We start from the raw sequence: 19,029 nt of genomic DNA, 5'->3' as shown, positions 1-19,029 counted from the left end.
TTCTTGGCCTGATCCATACTCGCTAGTCCTTTTCAGTCTCAGTTCAAACATTACCTACTCCAGGAAGCCTTCCAGGATAAGCTAGGCATGTGCTCTGCTCTCGTTGGATGCCCTGGCTCCCCTGACGCTCAGATTGGCCCTTATCCTGTTATATTAGTGTCATCTGTGTGCATAGCAGTCTTCCCCACTGGACTGGGGACTTCTGCAGAGCAATTCAGGACCCCTGAAGTCAGACCCTGAGGGGGGCTTTGTGGCTTCTCTCCTGCTCCAGCTGCCCAGACCACATGGACTCTGAATGCATTCTCCCCCTCTAGATCTTGCTCTCCTACCCTGGAGATGCCCTTCTCTGTAACCTTCCCCCTCCACATCTTCCCAAGACATGATCTCGCACCCCTTCTCCAGTCTAGGGGACAAGGACTGTGTGCTTCCCAGGCCCAGCCACGCGTAGCACATGGGGTGAGCAATGAATGTCATTATTGAAAGAAAAACCTGAACTGAACATATCTGAAAAATTCAAAAGACTGATATGTTGAGTCTGATGAATCTGCTTACAAAATGGACTCACATTTTTACGTAGTCTCATAGACCTAAACGAATGGTGTTCTGTTTTGATCTTTCAAATGTATTTTAAAGGTGACCTTGTTGTGGGCCTAAACAAACGGGAAAGGAATACACAATTGCTGGGGAAGGTGAGGATGATTTGTACTTCTCAAAAATGTTTCTTTAATGCTATGTATAATGATTTTTATACATTTTTGAAAAGAGAAGAAAAATTTATTCTTGAAGCTGCATCCAAGAGATTCCACTCTATATACAACACCTGTCCAGCTGTGAGCTCTGCTTGGTCCGAATAAAGTCCTCTGGGGGCTCCCTGGGCCCTGATGGGCAGCCTGGCGGGGGTGTAGAAACCTGGTAGGGAAGACTCTGCCCCCTTCTCTCCTCCCAGGGCCTCCCTCTCAATCCAGAGCCCTCACTGAGAATGATCATGAGGGCTGTGATTCTGTAACCCAGTGGAGCAGCCATCAGAGCCCAGTGCTATGGGCTTTGTGCTTAGTATCCAGCCTGGGAAGGGCTCAGTGCCCTTATGATGGGGGCAGGTAGAAGTGAGGCTGCAGGAAGAGGCAGGTGTGAGTTGACCACGTTCCTCCCTCCTCAGGTCATGCTCTGCAAGCATTCCATCTTTTTCAGCTCCATCCCTTTTCTCCAGGATCAGTGTGGTCCCCACAGCAGCCTCCAGCTGCACCTCTGAACGTATGGAGGAGGAGGTGGGGCCTGGAGCCTTGTCTAGGCCCCTCCCCCAACCATTTGGGGCTTGAGATGCCCACGGGAGATTGAGATCATCCACCCTGGACTCCCTTATCCCCCAGAGGTCTAGAACACAGGAGCTGGAAGGTCTTTATCCAACAGGCTTACTGCACAGATGGGCCAAGGGGATGCAGAGGGTGGATAGGTGACTGTCCACCATGTCCCAGAAGGTCAGGGCTGAGACTCGGACCAGACCTCCTGGGCCCACAGGAGCCACACTCCCAGCACCCGAGTCCCCAGGTCCCCCGGCGCACAGGCTGGGCATGGGGCTATGGCAGAAACTCCTCTTTCACAGGCATTGGAGAGGAGGTGGCCAGGAGGCTGGTGTTGCTGGGACACAGGCCCCCCAGGGATGGCCCGGCTGGGGTGGCCGTGATGTCGTGGGCCATCGGCGGCTGTGGGGGCTGTTGCTGCTGCTGTTTCTTCTTGTTCACTTTGCGCTCCTTTGCCCGCCGGTTTTGGAACCAGATCTTCACCTGTGGGGTTGGAGGACAGAGATGGAGTGGGCAGCAGGGAGAGAGTGAAAGAGAGAGTGCAAGAAGGAGAGACGAGGACAGTGAGCCCCTATTTCTCCATGTGGCTTTGTGGCTTATCTCCTCTCCAGCCTCCCAGACCACATGGACCCTGAATTCATTCTCCCCCTCTAGACATTGCACCCCTACCCTGGAGATGCCCTTCTTTGTAACCTTCCCCCTCTCCATCTTCCCAGGCCACACTTCTTCCAGGAAGCCTTCCTTGTTATCCCTGTGACTGCTCCCCTAATGTAAATAGCACGTGCACCTCCTACAGCACTAATAATAGCCTGCTGTAGCCTGTGGCTAATCAGATCCCCTTACCCCTGCCTTTGGGGGCAAGGATACTGGGTTTTGTTAAGGGAGGGTGCTGGTAGCACCTCAGTTTCTGCTGTGCTGTGTGACAATGGCCTGGAGACTCAACCTCTCTGTTTTCCTTCTACTGAGCTCTGTACTCTGCCTGGCAGCCTGGAGACCAGAGTCCTCGCACTGCTCCTATGGCTGAGATAGGAAGACAGACACACCTGCCGTTCAGTGAGCCCCAGATTGGCAGCCAGCTCTGATTTCCGCCGGATTGTGATGTAACGGCTGTAATGAAACTCCTTCTCCAGCTCCAGGCGTTGGTGGTCGGTGTAGACCACGCGGTACTTGTCCTTGGTCCGAGTCTTACCTGAGAAGCAGAAGGAGCCGGGAAGGAAGGTGAGTTGAGAGGAGGAGGCTACAAAAAAGGCCCAGGCAGGACCCCCAGGAGGAAGACAATCCAGGCTCCCTGAAGTAGGACCCTGAGGTGGGGAGAGACATACACTCCAGGTTCAAGGGAAACAGTCATTTCCCAGACTCAGACCCACAGACTCACAGTCTGGGAGGCAAGTACTCCTCCCATGCCCATCAGGGAGGCAGTGAGGTAGGCAAAACAACCAGCTCAGGGTTACACAGCAGGCTGCTGACGGAGCTGCAGCTTCAGCCCAGGTCTCCTGACCCAGAGCCCTATTCTGAAGGCCAGCTCCAACAACTTTAAACCAGCAGCTTCCAGATGTGGCTGCACAGCAGCCATTCTCCAGGAGCTTGTGAAGAACACAGGTTCTGGGCATCCCTGACCAGTTAGTCAGAAAGCCTGGGGGTGGAATCTGCATTTTTAACAAACTCTCCACTCTGTGGTCAGATATCAGATAGGTTTGAATGCTGGAGACACGGAGGGGATATCGGGCAGGCAAGGGTGATCAAGACTAATGAGATGGCAGCTGCTCCTTCCTCCTGTGCAAGAGAAGAGAGAAGGGAAGAGCCACCACAGGTAGAGGTGGAAGCAGAAAGAATCTGGAACTGTCCCAGGTGTGGGCTCCCTAGTTCTTGCCGAATGCCTGGGGATGGCCTCAACATCAGACAGGGAGGACTGGGGCTGCTGCTGGACCCCTAGGACCTGCCAGTTACCTCAAAGGCTCTGGCTCACGATACCAAGCCCTGAGCTGGGCCTGCACCAGAGGCCGGAGGCTGGTCTGCCCAAGCCGTCCACACATCCCCCTGTGTCCAGGCACCGGGCAGGAGAGATGCAGCTCATCCCACAGATCCTCACTGAGCTCCTGCTGTGAGCCAAGCTCTGGGCTACAGCACTGAGCAAAATAAAACCCCTGCCCTCGTGATGCTTAGCTTCTAGGGGAGGGAGATGATGAAAAGAAAAATAAACATAAAATATTTGATACACTAGTTGATAAGTGTTTCAGAAGAAAAGGAGGCAGGGAAGGAGGACTGGGAATTTAGGGAGGAGGTGGTCTGTGATTTTAAATAGAATGGGCCGTGAAGGCCTTGCTGAAAAGGGGAATTTCAGCAAAGGTGTAAAGGAGGTACAGGAAAGAGTCATGTAGGGCCAGGCGCGGTGGCTCACACCTGTAATCCCAGCACTTTATGGGAGGCTGAGGGAGGTGGATCACGTGAGGTCAGGGGTTCAAGACCAGCCTGGCCAACATGGTGAAACCTCATCTCTACTAAAAAATACAAAAATTAGCCGGGCGTGGTGGCATACATCTGTAATCCCAGCTACCCAGGAGGCTGAGGCGGGAAAACAGGAGAATTGCTTGAACCTGGGAGGTGGAGGTTGTGGTGAGCCAGGATTACACCACTGCATTCTAGCCTGGGTGATCGAGTGAGACTCCGTCTCAAGAAAAATAAACAAAAAAAAGAGTCATGCAGACATCTGGGGAGAGGCTTCTAGGCAGAGGGAACAGCAAGTGCAAAGGCCCCGAGGTGGGGCATGCCTGCTGTCTGCCTGCTGTCTGACAGTGAGGAGCTGTGAGGAAGCTGGTGGAGCTGAGGTGCAGTGAGAAGGGGGACGGGACAGGAGACAAGGGGAGGGACTCTGGGTTTTCCTCTGTCTGGGACAGGAGCCATTGCAGGATTCTGAGCAGAGGAGACATGAAGTCTGATGTAGGTTTTAATATTACTCTGGCTACTGCATGGAGAACAGATTTGCAAGAGGAAGGGGAAGTGCAGGGAGAGCTGCCGTAACCCAGGAGAGAGGGCGGTGCCTTGGCTTCTTTATGAGGCTCAGCCTGGGGCCCAGAGCTGGATTTGAGGACCAGCTGAGGTTAATGTCAGGACTTTCTTTGGGACTGGGATCAGAGGTCTGTCTGGAGAGAATACTAAGAGTCATGCTTGGCCTGGGCTTGTGTGGGGCCTGGCTAAGCACCAGTTTCCTTTATAAGAAGCTGAGCACGTGGCTATAAATAGGAGGCGCACGCAAGCACTTCCAGACCCGCACACGCTCCCACCAGGGCATGGCGGGTCTCTGAAAGACCATCAACCCCTCCCGCCTCTCGCAAGTGTCCCCACCACAGCCCAGCCTTCATCTTCTTGGGTTTCAGCCCTGGCCCTGCCTGTCCCTCAGCACCCCTGTACTAACCACTCACCCGCCCCCATTCTGACGCCTGTCCCCCTCCACCAAGCCCACGCAGCTTGGCAGGACAGCCACTGGGCTCTCCGTGAGCCAAATGGCTTTGTGGAGAATGGGAGGCAGCAGATGTTCCTGGGCAGCTTTTCCCTGGGTTTCCTGCCAGAGCAGAGGAACCACACTGGACGCTTCCATGTCCACTGACCTCAGTCCGCTGCCCAGCATAGCACGGGATAGCCTCGGACTTCAGCCAGGTTTGGCCCCAGGAAAGGGATAAGGGAGTGGCTGCCCAGGCCTTGGCTCCAGATTGGGCCCCTCCTTGGCCTAGAAAATGCAACGCCGGCTCAAAAACAGTTCTGCCTAATGCCACCAGCACTGGAGGCCAACATGGCTCTGAATCCACAGACCCATTGGGTTCACTGGGCTAAAGCTGGAAGCGGTTGTGAGAGTTTAGTCTCCTCGCACTTTACTGAGGAAGAGATCGGGGTTCACAATGGTTGCATGGCAGCTGGAGGGCCAAAGAAGAGGCCTGGTGAGCCCTTCCAGTCCTACCTCCCTGTGTAGTCAGGGTCACTGAGGCCCAGGCAGGCACGGGCCTGCCCAAGGCCATGCCCCATGCCCTAGAGCTCTTGCTGCCTCTCCAGGGTACAATTCCGCATGCTGCCAAATTTAGGGCCCACTGAGCCTGCCATGGAGCCCCCAAAGTGTTGGTAACAGAAGCTTAAATAGCAGACCACCCCTCCATTGCTACTTCTGGGAAAGGAGAGCCCAGACCATGGTGAGGGAAGGCTACTGAGAGCCCCAGGCTGGGGGCCCTTAAAATGCCCAGAGGACTCACAGCCACCCCCAGGAGGACAGGCCTGAGGTAGGGCATGAGGCTCCCTGCCCACCCAGACCTTCGCCTAGGGATGACAGGCAGTGGTCCTGAAGGTGCTTTTTCCTTAGAGTCCTAGCACCCACTCCTGCCTCTTCTGACGAGCAAGCCCAGACCCATGAGAGCCATTTCATAGGTGGGGGGAAATGGGCTCAGAAAGGGCACTTGCAGAGGGCTGTCCTGACTGGTCATGGTATGAACCAGGACTCAGGTTTCTGACCTCAGGCCCAGCTCTTCCACAAGGGAGGGGGTCAGGAGTGAGACCAGATGGAGATAGGGTTTAGCTGCACAATTACTCCTCTCTCTCCTGGCAAGGCTGCCAGTGAAGACCTGGCCCACAGGCCTTGTCACTCCTCTCTGGGCTCTGGAGAGGAGCTGGTGGGCTCAGGAACCCATTGGCCAACTTCTCTCTGGTGGAGCTGCTTGAAACACACAATTTTCGTGCAAGAAAATGGCTCTGCCAAAGAACAAAATGTTTGCTATCACACCGTGTGGCTCAGAAACCAGGGAATCCCATATGCTGTTCCAGGAGTGAGAACTGAAACATCCTCCTTAGCGCCCAACTTGGCGATATCTAGCCTCATTTAACAGGCACATACCCTTTGACCGAAGAATCCCACTTCCAGTAACTGATCCGACCAAGAGCTGCCCAAAGCTCCATCTGTTTCTGATAACACAAGACAAAAAACAATGTACACGTGTACAAGCAGGGAGCTGGTGAGAGAAGGGATGGTGCATTCGTGGAGAGGAGCATTATGCAGTCATTAAAAAGAAATTTCAAAACCCCATATATCCCAGTATGGAACAATTTCTAAGACGTGTGAAAAAAAAAGCAAGACAGAATAGTGTAAATAGTATGTTACCATTTGTGTATAAAAATGGGGGAGACACACACATACCCAAACATAGTTCTTTCTGAAAGAATATACAAGAAGCCAGTAATAGGGGCTGCCTCTGGAGAGGGCACTGGAGGTTGGAAAGCCACAGGTAGGAGGGAGACTTTGGGTTTTTTAAATCTTTATCAAGTGTATGTGTTAATTTGTATTTTTAATGACAGCCCCAGGAGCCCTGGGCTCCAGTCCCAGCTCTGGGCTGGAACTCCCAACTGCCCCAAGATACCTCTGGAGCCTGGGAAGGAGCGGGCAGGGAGGTGTGTGAGAGCAGTGGGGTGGGGAGAGGGCTGGGGATGAATTATTTACAGGCCCCTGGGACGCTGGAGCTAAGGGGGAAGTCCAGGCTCCTATAACAGGTGTCTGCTGAGGGGCGGGCCACTCCCAGCCACCTAATAAGTAATCCTCTGGGCCAGATGCCAGTGTGAATGGGTGGGAGGGAGAATGGGGAGCCCCCTCAGCTCTTCAGGGGTGAGCACAGAGGGGAAGAGCCTTGGGTAACTCACCGAAATGGGAGGCTTTCTCTCTCCAGTTTTGGGATGCGCAGAATGTCCCATCCATGTGGATTAGGCCACCATGAGAGGTAGCAAACTCCCGTCCCCTAATGCATGCACGGTACAGGCCAATGGCTCCCAGTGCCTGACCAGCAGCCTTGGAACTGCCTGGGAAGCTTTTTCACAGTGCAGATTCTGGCCCCAGAAATTCAAATTTAGTGGCGCTAGAATGGGTCTCAAAATTTGGTACTTGAATAGTTTTCCAGGTGACCCTAACGTGTGGTTGGTTGGGCTTTAGCTCCATAATTACTCCTCTCTGTCCTGGCAAGGCTGCCGGTGAAGACCTGGCCCACAGACCTTGTCACCCTTCTCTGGGCTCTGGAGAGGGGCTGTGGAGCCCAACAGAGGTACACTCTGTGACTCCAGAGGTGTCTCGGGGCAGTCAGGAGTTCCAGCCCAGAGCTCCTGGATGTCATTAAAACTAAACCTCTGGGGTTGTGGAGTGCAGCTGCTCACTGGCTGGGTAACCTAGGACAGTCTCCCCACCTCTCTGAGCCTCATTTTCTGTATTTGTAAAATGGGGAAAATTAATATTCTAATAATAGCCAACACATCCATGTGCTGGGCCCTTTGTATACATCTCTCAATGACCCGTGGAGTTGGGCAACTATCACTCTATTTTACAGATGAGAAAACTCAGGGTCAGAGAGGACCACGCATCAGGCAGGTGGGATTCAAAACCAGGTCTATCTGGCCTCAGAAACAGCAGTAGAACCTATCAATCAAATGGTACAAGGTTTCTTGTAGTTCTCTCCAACCCTGCGGCATACAGGGGCTCACTTGAGATAGATGGACAATGTCTAGCATGCAGGAGGTGCATGGGGAAGGGCAGATCTTACTCATTTCCAACAGTTGTGGGATGACCATCTGGCAGGAATGCCAGGGAATGGATCTGTGCAATGGGCGGTCTGCTAGAAATGACCGTTTACTTATAAGGTCCCTTCCAACTTGGAAACGTGAACCTCCCAATGTTTGTTGATTCTCTGATTGTGTTTGTTATTGTAGCTGAAAGAATTCTAAGACCAATTTCAGTCTGAGAGTCTAGACACTGGGCCTGCCCGGGGGGAGGATGGGGACAGGAGCCACAGTGGCCTGCAGTGGGGGCTCCCCATCCAGCCTGGGCCAGGCAAGGACAGAGTGTGGCCTCTGCTCCAGCACAATCAAATGGCCCCTAGGTCAGCACTTCCTTTGCCCTCTTCCTGCCGGGTGTGTGGCCCTGGTGGATGACCAGCTTTGGCCCCCCAAGGCCTGGACCACAAATCCAGCTCTGAAAACCTTTGTGACTCCTCCCTGGGTGGTCCAGCCCCAGCTGGCTGTGCTTCAAGATCCTAACCCCAACACACACATGCAAACAGGCATGCACGTCTGTACACACAAGGGCTTGCTGAAAATGCAGATTCCCAGGCCCCACTCCAGATCTACCACATCCTAATTTCTCTGTCATCTTTAACGAGGCCCCTGTGGATTCTAAACCACCAGCTAAAGTCAGTGGGTCCTGGTCCCAGTTCCATGCCATCTGTGTGGCCTAGAATTAGTTCCTCCTCTCCTCTGGGCATTGGTTTAGCCTGTGCACCAGTCCAAGTGCCCTCGAGACTCTGCAGTTTTGAGCCCTTTGTGCAGCTTTGAGCCTTCCCTTAAAGATCAGACCTCCTGGCCCCCCCTGCCACCTTGCTGCCTGCCACCCCAGGCAACCCCCACAGGGAGCACCTGCCCCACACGCCCTCCAGCCAAGTCCCTCAGAGACCCACACTGCATGCAGCAACAGGCGATGGGGAGCTCACCCGTGTCTGTGATGCCAGCCTAGGAATGACAAACGAAGGGCATAGGGCTTTTGGCAGGAGGGGGCTCAGGGGAGGTGGGAATAGGGTAGCCATAGAATGCTACTGCAAAGAGCCCCCTTTTCCAAGATAAGGAAGCAAGTCCAGAGAGCTTATAGGTCACTTGCTGTGGATGACTGCAAGGCCAATAGGCAAAGGAAAGGGTGGGAAAGAGGGGCTCAGGAGGACTGATCTCACCCCAGATAATACTTGTAGGAGCGCTGCAAGGGTGGCAGGCTGTGGGCCAGCTCAGAGGTGGTGGCACTTCTGGTGAGGGGCCTAAATTGTAGCAGCGTCACACTCTACTGAGGTTTGGGAAAGGCTGGGTGTTTGGGGCGAGCTTCTAGACCTTGCCTGGTGGCAGAGACCTGGACTGTGGTCCAGCCTGGTCATCTTAGTTGAAGGACTTGACAAGTGACTGAATTTCCCTGGGCTTTCCTTCCCCTGCCTGGGGAACAGAATGGCTGTGAGAGCAGTCTGGAAAGGGTAAAAAGCTATGGAGACAAAAAGGAGAAAACAGCTATTTGCAGAAGTGAGCATGTTGGTGGAGTCCCTCGTGAGAGAGAGGAATGTCGCCTAATGGGGAGCCATAGGGCCAAGAACACACTGACCTGGGAGTGGGGAGATCTGGCCGGCCCACCAGCTGGACATGTGATCCCTTATTTGGGCCTGTTTCCCCATCTGTACCACCAGGGGGAGGGCTCTCCACTGTGCCCTAACCTCACCAGCTCTACAATGGATGGATACCCTTCCTGGGACATCAGGCTTTCTGCCTGACCCACAGTTGGGTCCTTGTCTTGGCTGATCTGGCAGTCCCCGGCTGCTAATATCATGGTTCCTCACTCAAGCCCTGAGCAGGGATGAAGCTGGCATGGGAGCGGGGAAAGGGGGACAATGGCCAGGCCAGCCATTTTGGGAGTCCTACAGCCTTAGCCAGATTCTCCTCCCCACTGTCACCCTCCTTCCTAGTTAGAGTTCTTCATCATCTCTGCACCCTCCTCCTCCAGGGCCACCTTTGCATCATCTGCTGCCCTATCTTCTTCATCAAGGTCCACAATCTGACCCAGCTTTGGGAGGTAACAAAGAGGAAGGGACTTTAGAGTCAGACAGAGACCGGTGGCTCTCCCCCAGTCTGGCCATGTGCCAGTGGTATGTCCCCAGGCAAGTTGCTGGACCTCTTTGAGTTTCAGTTTATTTATCTTTAAAATGAAGACATGAATACTTTCTTTATATGGTAGTTATGGAGACCAAAGTAATAACCTACTTAACAAAGTACTTATTAATAAAAACTATGATGATGATGATGATACTACAGAGACAAAGAAGCTGAAAGAGGCAGGAGAGAGGCCAGGCGAGGTGGCTCATGCCTGTAATCCCAGCACTTTGGGAGGCTGAGGTGGGTGGATCACCTGAGGTCAGGAGTTCGAGACCAGCCTGACCAACATGATGAAACTCTGTCTCTACTAAAAATACAATAATTAGCTGGGCGTGGTGGCGTGTGCCTGTAATCCCAGCTACTCTGGAGGCTGAGGCAGGAGAATCGCTTGAATCCAGGAGGCGGACGTTGCAGTGAGCCGAGATTGCGCCATTGCAGTCCAGCCTGGGCGACAAGAGCAAAACTCCATCTCAGGAAAAAAAAAAAAAAGGCAGGAGAGATTCCTCAATGCAAGAACAAGGAGCTTATGCAGAATGGATTTCCATTCTGGGAACTCTTGAGAGAGATTTTTCTGCACTGTCCAATATGACAGCAACTAGCCACATTAATTAAATAAAATATAAAATTCTGTTTCTCAGTCACACTAGCTGTATTTCAAGTGTTCAACAGCCATGTGCAGCTGGTGGCTGCCTACTGGACAGCACAGATACAGAGCATTTCCATCCTGGCGGAAAGTCCTACTGGACAAACGCTGCTAGATCAAACTCCTACCAGGGTCCGGACGCCCACACTGCAGCACACGCCTACTAGCTGCAAAGCAGCCAGTTCTTGCATCTGCCACCCATTTATATCCTTCCTGAGTTTTTCCACAGGGGCACCCTGAGCCCAAGACAGCCATTTAAGATTTACAAACAGCAACTGCATCCCTTCAGGTCTTCTCTGAGGCCGAAGAACTTGAGGCCTCTCTGAACTGTTTCCTGGTGGAGTTTCCAGGCCACTGCCCCCCTGGCCATCTTCCACTAGACTAGTCTGAGAGTGAAGCCCTTGCTACTCCACTGTAGGTGTGGCTCCCGAAGTCTCACGTTCGAGGTGGGGCTGCAGTGAGGGGCTCTGCCTCCAGCCCCTTCCTACCCCTAGCTGGCTGTGTGACCTTGGTGAAGACCCTCCCCTTAGGCCTTGGCTCCCTGAATGCTCTTTGAGGGTAGGGCCATGCCATTTAGCTCACCAGCACCTATCACGTGCCTGACACACACAGTGAGTACTTGATGAATCCTTGGTGAATACATAAAACAAACCTGCTACTTCCTCTGCTTCTTTAACTCAATAAACAGCACCTCCATCCTCCAGCCATTCAGATCAAAAGCCAAGGTGGCACCTCTCAGTCCTGTCTCCCTTGCTCCCCAAGTCCACTCCAGCAGCTGGTGGCTCAGCCTCCAAAGCACAGCCTTCTGTCCATCTCCATTGCTCCTAAAGCTTAGTCCAGCCACTCATTTGATGGAGAAGAAATGTGCTGTTCCGGGGACAGAAATCTTGCATTTGAAAAAATGCTGAACACACTGAGCACCCAATAGATGCTGGTTCGCATTATGATTACCATAATAACTGCTTAGTACTTATTTGATAAATAGTTCATTATCTCCTTCATGGCAGGGGAGGTAGATTAAAAACAAACAAATGAAATAATGACAAACTGGGATTAGCAGCAGGAAGGAAAGTGAGCAATGAGCTAAACCGACTGGTGAGGTGAGGGGAAGAACGCTACTTTACTTAGCTGGGGGAGGTCTCCAGGAACAGGCCACATTTAAGCCAAGACCTGAGGTTGAGAAGGAGGCTTCCATGTCATGAACAGGGAAAGACATTCCAGGGAGAGTGAGCAGTAGGTACAAAGGCCCCCAGGCAGGGAGGAGCAGAGTGAGGGCAGAGAGGGCAGCTCTCTGCATGCAGGTGGACCCGTCTGCCTTGTTCAGGCCATCATCTCCAATGCCTAGGAGCAAGTTCAGGACAGAAGACACTCACTCAGAGAATATTACTGCTTGCCTGCTTGAATGAATGAATGAATGAGAGAGGCACAAGATGGGGCTGGAGAGGCCAGCAGATTCTGTAGGAGAGGGATATGGATTTGGTTTCAAGAACAAAAGGAAGCCATGGGAGGGTGTGGAGCCTAGCTTGCTCCCTCTTTCTGTTGATGGGGGGGATCCATGTGGGGTGCCCCCACAAGCCTGAGGGGTGAGCGTGGCATGGGGAGGGTCTGGCATGCTAACATGGTGACGGCCTTGACTCCAGATGTGAATGTTGTTTCCATATCCCAGGAGCTCCAACACAAAAACCTGAGAGGCCGGCCCATTAAGATAACTTCCTATGGACACACCAGACCCTGCTGCTAACAAACCATTTTGGACCTTCACAATGATTCCCCAAGCTCTGAGCAGCAATATCTGCCAAAGCAGCAGGGAGAAAACACCCAACCAAAAAAAAGCCTTCTGCCACCTTCTAACTGGGTCATTCCCTTTCCCAGCTATATCTGAGCGATGAGGTGTCAAATGTAGCTTCTGCCTGGAGAATCGGTTCTAAACAGCCAGGCCCCTGCTGGGCCCCCTCCTCCCCCAGCCTCTTACAGTACATCCCCTGCCTGGCCTCCTTTCCCCCCAACCTGGCTGGGATGCCCATGGGGAAGGGGGGGTCTCAGGCTCCCCTTCGTGAGTGTGTCTTTATTTCACAGACGATTGCTGGGCTGTAGACTGGGTGTAAACACTGTGCTGCCATGTCCTAGCTGTATGAGCTTGGGCAGGCCACCTTACCCTCTCTGAGCCTCATTATCCTGATCTATAAAATGAGTATACTAGATCCTTACACCACTCAGGGCTATCATGAGACTTAAGTGAGATCACCCATGCAAAGTTATTGGCACAGTGCCTGGCACACAGTAAAGATTTAGCCAATGCCACAGTTATTTGCTTTATCACGAGCTCTTACTATGTGCAAGACAGGGTGAGGATGGGACTGATTAGGACTGGTCCTTGAGGGACTACAGATGGTCAGTGGCAGGGATAAACAAGACAATGAAAGTAGACAGGCAGTGGTAAGTGTCATGAAAACAAGGGCCTGATACAGTGCTTGGGAGGAGGAATCAGGGAGGGCTTCCTACAGGAGACAGCCTCGGAGAAGGAGCAGCATTTGAGCTGGTGAAGATGCAGGAGAGGGAAGGGAGGGCAATGCAGGCCGAGGGACCAGACTAGAGAGGCTGGGAGTGTGAGGTGTGTGCTCCAGTGCACCTGCTGAGGACTGGTAGAGGTGGTCACAGGCACCGATGCCCTAAGCACCTACTGTGTGCCAGCGGCAGGGCGGTGCTTTACAGGCATCTCTTCTGAGATGCAATCCTATTATTATCCTGTTACAGCAGAAGCAGCCCAGGCTCCGAGAAATGATCCAAATTAACTTGTCCGAAGCTATACAGCTTCTTATGGAAATGCAATCCCAGCTCTGAGACTCCCAAGCCCTGGCTCTTAACTTGCCTTATCTAGGCAAAGTAGCAGGAGAATGGCTTCAATAGATGGTTGAGGCCAGTTCTCAAGAAGGCTCTGATTGCCATAGAAATGGAGCTGGATTTTACAACAAAGAAATGGCATAAAAGGCCGGACACGGTGGCTCACGCCTGTAATCCCAGCACTTGGGGAGGCCGAGGCGGGCGGATCACGAGGTCAGGAGATCGAGACCATCCTGGCTAACACGGTGAAACCCCGTCTCTACTAAAAATACAAAAAAATTAGCCGGGCATGACAGCGTGCGCTTGTAGTCCCAGCTGCTGGGGAAGCTGAGGCAGCAGAATGGCGTGAACCTGGGAGGCGGAGCTTGCAGTGAGCCGAGATCGCACCACTGTACTCCAGCGTGGGTGACATAGCAAGATTCTGTCTCAAAAAAAAGAAAAAAGAAATGGCATAAAATGAAATGGCAATTCCATGTCAGTAGGGAGCCACAGAATGCTCTTGAGCAGGGCATGTGCCTTGAGAAGGTAAATATGGCAATGGTTTTAGAAGATAGCTGGAGCAGTACAGAAAGGCTGAAGGTGAGACAGCAGGTTGGTGGCTGTGGCAATGGGCCAAGGGAGAGGACCTGCAATGTGGGGGGAGGGGAGGATTCATATCCTTCATGGGCCTCAGTTTCCCCATCTGAAAGTTGACAGGGTTGGACCAAGATCTAAACCTTGCTCCCACAGTCTCATCCACGTGAACATCTCCCCAGTCCTGAGACCTCAGCCACCCCAATGGGCCATTAACCTGTGGAGCAGCTTTATTCAAAGGAATTGGAGGCTGAGCCTTCCACGGAAGGATGATGCGTAACCATCCTAATGAAAATGATGATATTTAAAACCCTCCTCATGAAAATGCAAAGAGAAAAGGAAAAAAAAAGAACGTCTTGTAGTCATTTCCTATCCTGGCCTCAGTCAAATGATGCTGATCACTCATAACTGATTAATATTGTCTTTTGGAATCGGAGACTGATTGAAGCCCAACAGCCTCTCTCTCATCTTTCCCATTGTCACTGCCCCCTCCTTAGAAGAAACTGAAGTCTTAGTCCCAGCCTCAGCAACCCCACTTCCCCAGGTGAGTTGGGGTACCATCCAAGTGGAGAGACAGAGGCAGCCAGGTTTCCATTGACCTGAACTGCTTGGCTTGACAGTCACAGGTCCCAATCCTAGGGCTGGGACCTCAGAAACCTGTGTGAAAGCCAAGATCTCACCCACTCCCCTGTTCCCCAGAGATGCCTTTTGTCCCTCACACTTGCCCTGTTCATTCACTCAACAAAATATATTGAGCACCTACTAAATGCCATGCACTGAGCTGGGTGCCAGGATGCAGTAGTGGGTTAAGCAGACATAGTTCTGGACCTCACGGGAATGGACAACATACAAACAAGTGTAAGGAAGTGAGTAGATTGGAATTAGTGCTCTGAAGGAAACACAGCAAAGATTCGTGATGGGTGTAGTGGGGAGTCCACTTTGGGAAATGATGGAGGGCTTCACAGAGGAGGTGATGATGAAACTAAGATCTGAAGGGTAAGAAGGTTCCACTCTTGCAAAGAATCAGGGGAAAGAGCTTTCCTGGAAGAGAGAACAGCATGTGCACAAGATCTGCAGTAGGACTTGGCAGGTCTGAGGAACTAAAAGAAGTCTGGAATGGCTAGAGCTTGGAAGCCAAGGTGAGAGCAGCCGGGGATGAGGTCAGGGAGGCAGGCAGGTGCAAATGCTGTAGTCTTGTAGACCTCAGGAAGGAATGTGGGGTTTATCCTACATATGATGGGAAACCATAGGAAAATTCTAAACCAATTCTTCTGACATCTAGCCCAGCTCAGCCCCGCTTGTGTGAAACTGGAACATTCTTCACAGTCTCTGTACCTTGGTTCCCTCGTCTACATGTGTGGTCTCTAACTGTCCAGTTTGTCCACTCTCGAATGCTGGAGGCTCAGAAGTGGGGCAAAAGGGGGCTAGCCAGGATTGGTGGCAGGCTGAAGACCTGGTGGCCAGTGCCAGTGGGGATTAGGAGGGCAGTGGCATGCACTGATCCTCCTTCAGCTGTCCTGGACAGCAGCATTGCACAGGAAGCACCCCTGGAAACCCTATGCCTTCATTGCCCAGAAGGAGAAACTGAGGCCAAAGACAGGAGGGGCTTGGCCTCTCTCTCAGGGAGAGTCAACAGTGCCAACCCAATTCTGCCCCCACTTCAGGAGCACTGAATAGACAGTCAGATGCCCTGGGAAGACAGGCAGCACCTTCTGGCTTCAAGAAGGTCAGGGTTCCTGCATCCTCTGCGGAAGAGGGCTAACCTGGCTCCAGGGAAGTCCCTTTCCTGGAGCCTTGGGAACCCCCAGACCTCCTTCTGCCTTTCCCTCTACTCTCGGAGAGCAAGGAGGGGGAAATGCTTTTTTGCCTGGGGTAGACTCATCTGCCTGCAGACAACAGTTTTCAAGCGACTTTTGAGACCAGAGGATGAGCCAGGTTCAGCAGCTCTCGTGCCCAGAGACACGAGGTGATTTGTATGGAAGCTCCTGGAAACTCCTCCAGGATACCCAGTCCCCTGACCCCCACTGACACACTCCTTTTCCCTTACACAGTGATGGCCTCTCTCCAAGTCCCTACCCATAGGGAACCTCCCCATTCATCTCCAAAGTCACCCCATGAGCAGGAAGCAGAAAGTGGAACACAGGAGCAGGAAACACAGGCTTCCTTCTCCAGAGCCTCACAGACTGGGAACTGCAGGATCCTGAGCACTGGTGCTGCCACCACCTCCTCTCATAGAACACAGGGTTCTTAACCCCGGATTTATGGATAAAGCTTCTGGTAGCCTCCAGAACCCCTGAAATTGCCCAATGATGCAACATTTGTACCTTTCAGCAGATTTTTCAAAGGAGTCCTTTTGTAACTTAAACAAGGGTACAAACCACTGCATAATCTCCCTTCTCTCTAATTTCACAGACAGTAGAACTGAAACCCAGAAAAGATGACTGATTTAAGAGGAGCTGTTGTGTAGAGAATTAGAGCACAGACTTAGTGGTTAGTCCACCTGGGTTCAAATCCCAGCCCCACTAGTTACAGGTTATATGGCCTTGGGCAAGTACTTAAACTCTCTATGCCATAGTTTCTTCATCTTAAAATGGGGGTGATAATAGTACCTACGATGATGTTTTAAGAGTTAAAGGAGTTAATGCATGCAAGATCTTACTTAGGTCATGCCTGGTCCGTTAGTTAAGTGTTCCAAAACATTAGCTGTTATTTAATCAAGGCCACAGAAGCAAGTGGCAGAGTCTGGTTCCCTGCATCTCCCTGGAGGCAGATAGGAGGTTATGTATCCCCGGGACTTCCAAAAAGGGGATATGATTATGGCCAGAACCCGTAGCTCCTGATCAAGGCCAACCCAGCATCTGCCCCGAGGCAAGCTGGGTGTGTGTGGGGAGATGGGGGTGAAGAGTGCGAGGAGGTGGGAGAAGTCCCAGGATTATTCGCAGCTGGGGTAAGGGGAGGAGGGGCTGGACATCAAAGGGTGGGCAGGCCAGCTTCCCGCCCCCAAGGCTAGGTGGCCTTTGTCAGGACAGGCCGGACACAGTCCGGACAATGGAACGTCGTGTTCACTTTCCGGCCAACAGGAGTCACTACCGAGCCAAGGCAGAGCCAGTTGCATGACAAAGGGGGGACCCATAACGGAGGTCAAGCCGCCCCTCATTAAAGTTGGGCCCTTTGTCCTGCCCCCTACCCTGCCTTTGAAGAGGGCGGATCAGAGAGGCCTGCCTGGGGGCAGGAGGTTCACAGGCTCAGGAGCCAAACAGTAGCCCCCCTTCCCACTGCTCCCGCTTCCCCTCCCCCGGGGTCAAGAGTTCAGGGAGGACCCTGAGAAGGTAAGGTACAGACCCCTTGCCCCAGTCTGGCCAAAGAGGGCTCTTTTTCAGCCTGAAGGATATGACCCAGCAATGTCTTGACTGTGTGATGGGGAGACCCAGCCCTGGCCAGGAAAGTCACCTGCCCTGTTCACACAGTTAGTTAATCGTCCCTTCTGGGGCGAACCTGCCGCCTTTGCCTAGGGCTGGGTTAGGAGTGGAAGAAGCAGATGAAGAGCACGGAGTCGGTGTTGCTAAATGAGTGTGGGACACGAGTCTGGGAGCCTGCGTTCTAGTTCGGGTCTTGCTCCGCGGCCGCAGGCGCATTTCCGCACTTCGCAGGGGGTCTCGGTTTCCCTATCTGTACAGAGAGAGGGTTAGGCTGTGCTGCTGAAGGCTCCGATAGCCTGAGACTGAGGAGAGGGAGCCAAAGAGCAGCCCCCCAGGGCGAGAGTGGACAGGAGGGCCACACTCCCGGGAACCCGAGCAGGGCCGGAGCAGAGGTCAGACAGGGGGCGGCCTGGGCCGCGCCCGAGCACCTGCAGGTCCAGAGGCGCAGGGCGAGGGAAGGGTCCTTACCGCTGCCACCGCCGCCTCCGGCCGCCACGCTGCGCCGCATCCACTCGTAGGGCGTCGGCCTCTGCGCTCCGGGCGAGGACGGTGTGCCCGGGCCCCCGAGGGGCTGCGCCAGGAGGCCCGGGCCGGGCCCAGGGGGCGCCGGCACCGGGCTAAAGTCTGGAGGGGGCCCGAATGCCAGCGAAGCTGGGCTGGCGGCAGGGGCCGCGGGGCCCGGGCCGTAGGCGGCGGCCCAGTCGTCCTTGGGCGCAGGGAAGGGCGCCCCCCAGGCCGTCGGGGGCGCGGGGGCCGGCTCCACGTGAGAGTAGCTGGAGAAGTCGGGGTACTGCGGGGGCGCCGGGGGCGGGGCCGGGGGGCCGTAGGCTTGCGGGCCCAGGCCGAGGCTGGCTGGCCTGGCTGGGCCGGGGTACACGGGCGAATCCTTGTCCAGCACATAGCCCACATACATGGTGGCCGCGGGGTCCCCCGCGCATGCTGGGCCCTGGAGCCGCCGCTGCCGGCCGCCCCGACGACGAGCAACCGCTCACCTGAACTCGGCTGTCCTGCCGCCGCGCCCGCCCCACCCAGGCCTTTTATAGCTCCGGGCCGCCCGCGGCCCCAGCCGAGGCGGGTTTGCATTTCAAAGCGGGGGGAAGCCTCCGGGCCGCGAATCAAAGGGGGAAACCCGTCGGGGGCGGGGGGTTCAAAAGGAGACAAATTGCCGCCCCAAGCGGGAGGTGGACTGGCCAGGGCCTGGAGGGGGTGGGGGCGCGGAGGGCGCGTCTTGGGCGAGGGTCGAGGCCGCGCTGCGAGTGGGAATCGCTTGCCAGGGAGCGGCCTAGCGGCCTGAACACCTTGTCCTTCCGGTGGCCGCGTGGACGGCCCTGCAGCCCCATTTTACAGGCGGAGGAACAAGCTCCCAGGGGCCGGGGGATTCTAGGCCAACTTCACACAGTGACCAGCTTGAGGTGAGGGGCAACGCAGACTTCAAACAGGGCTCCGGTCTGTAGGATCGCAGGTCCTTAATCTTTTGGCGGGGAGGGGTCACGACCCCTCTCGTCATGGAAGCTGTGGATGTTTTTCCCTGGGGAAATGCACATATGCACATACATACACGAGT

General features: G+C 53.9%; 1 protein-coding gene across 1 annotated transcript; it reads right to left on the bottom strand.

The window, feature by feature from the left end:
• Positions 697-18,477, bottom strand: CDX1 (caudal type homeobox 1). The gene is made up of 3 exons (NM_001804.3): positions 17,934-18,477; positions 2,342-2,487; positions 697-1,781 (listed from the first exon to the last, which is right to left on the bottom strand). The coding sequence occupies exons 1-3, from the start codon at positions 18,376-18,378 to the stop codon at positions 1,575-1,577; spliced, it is 798 nt and encodes a 265-aa protein (NP_001795.2). The 5' UTR covers positions 18,379-18,477; the 3' UTR covers positions 697-1,574.

This window comes from Homo sapiens, chromosome 5 (genome assembly GCF_000001405.40).
Source record: "Homo sapiens chromosome 5, GRCh38.p14 Primary Assembly".
Taxonomy (NCBI): domain Eukaryota; kingdom Metazoa; phylum Chordata; class Mammalia; order Primates; family Hominidae; genus Homo; species Homo sapiens.
Note: the sequence above shows the minus strand (reverse complement) of the source record. Positions and strands in the feature narration are given on the sequence as shown.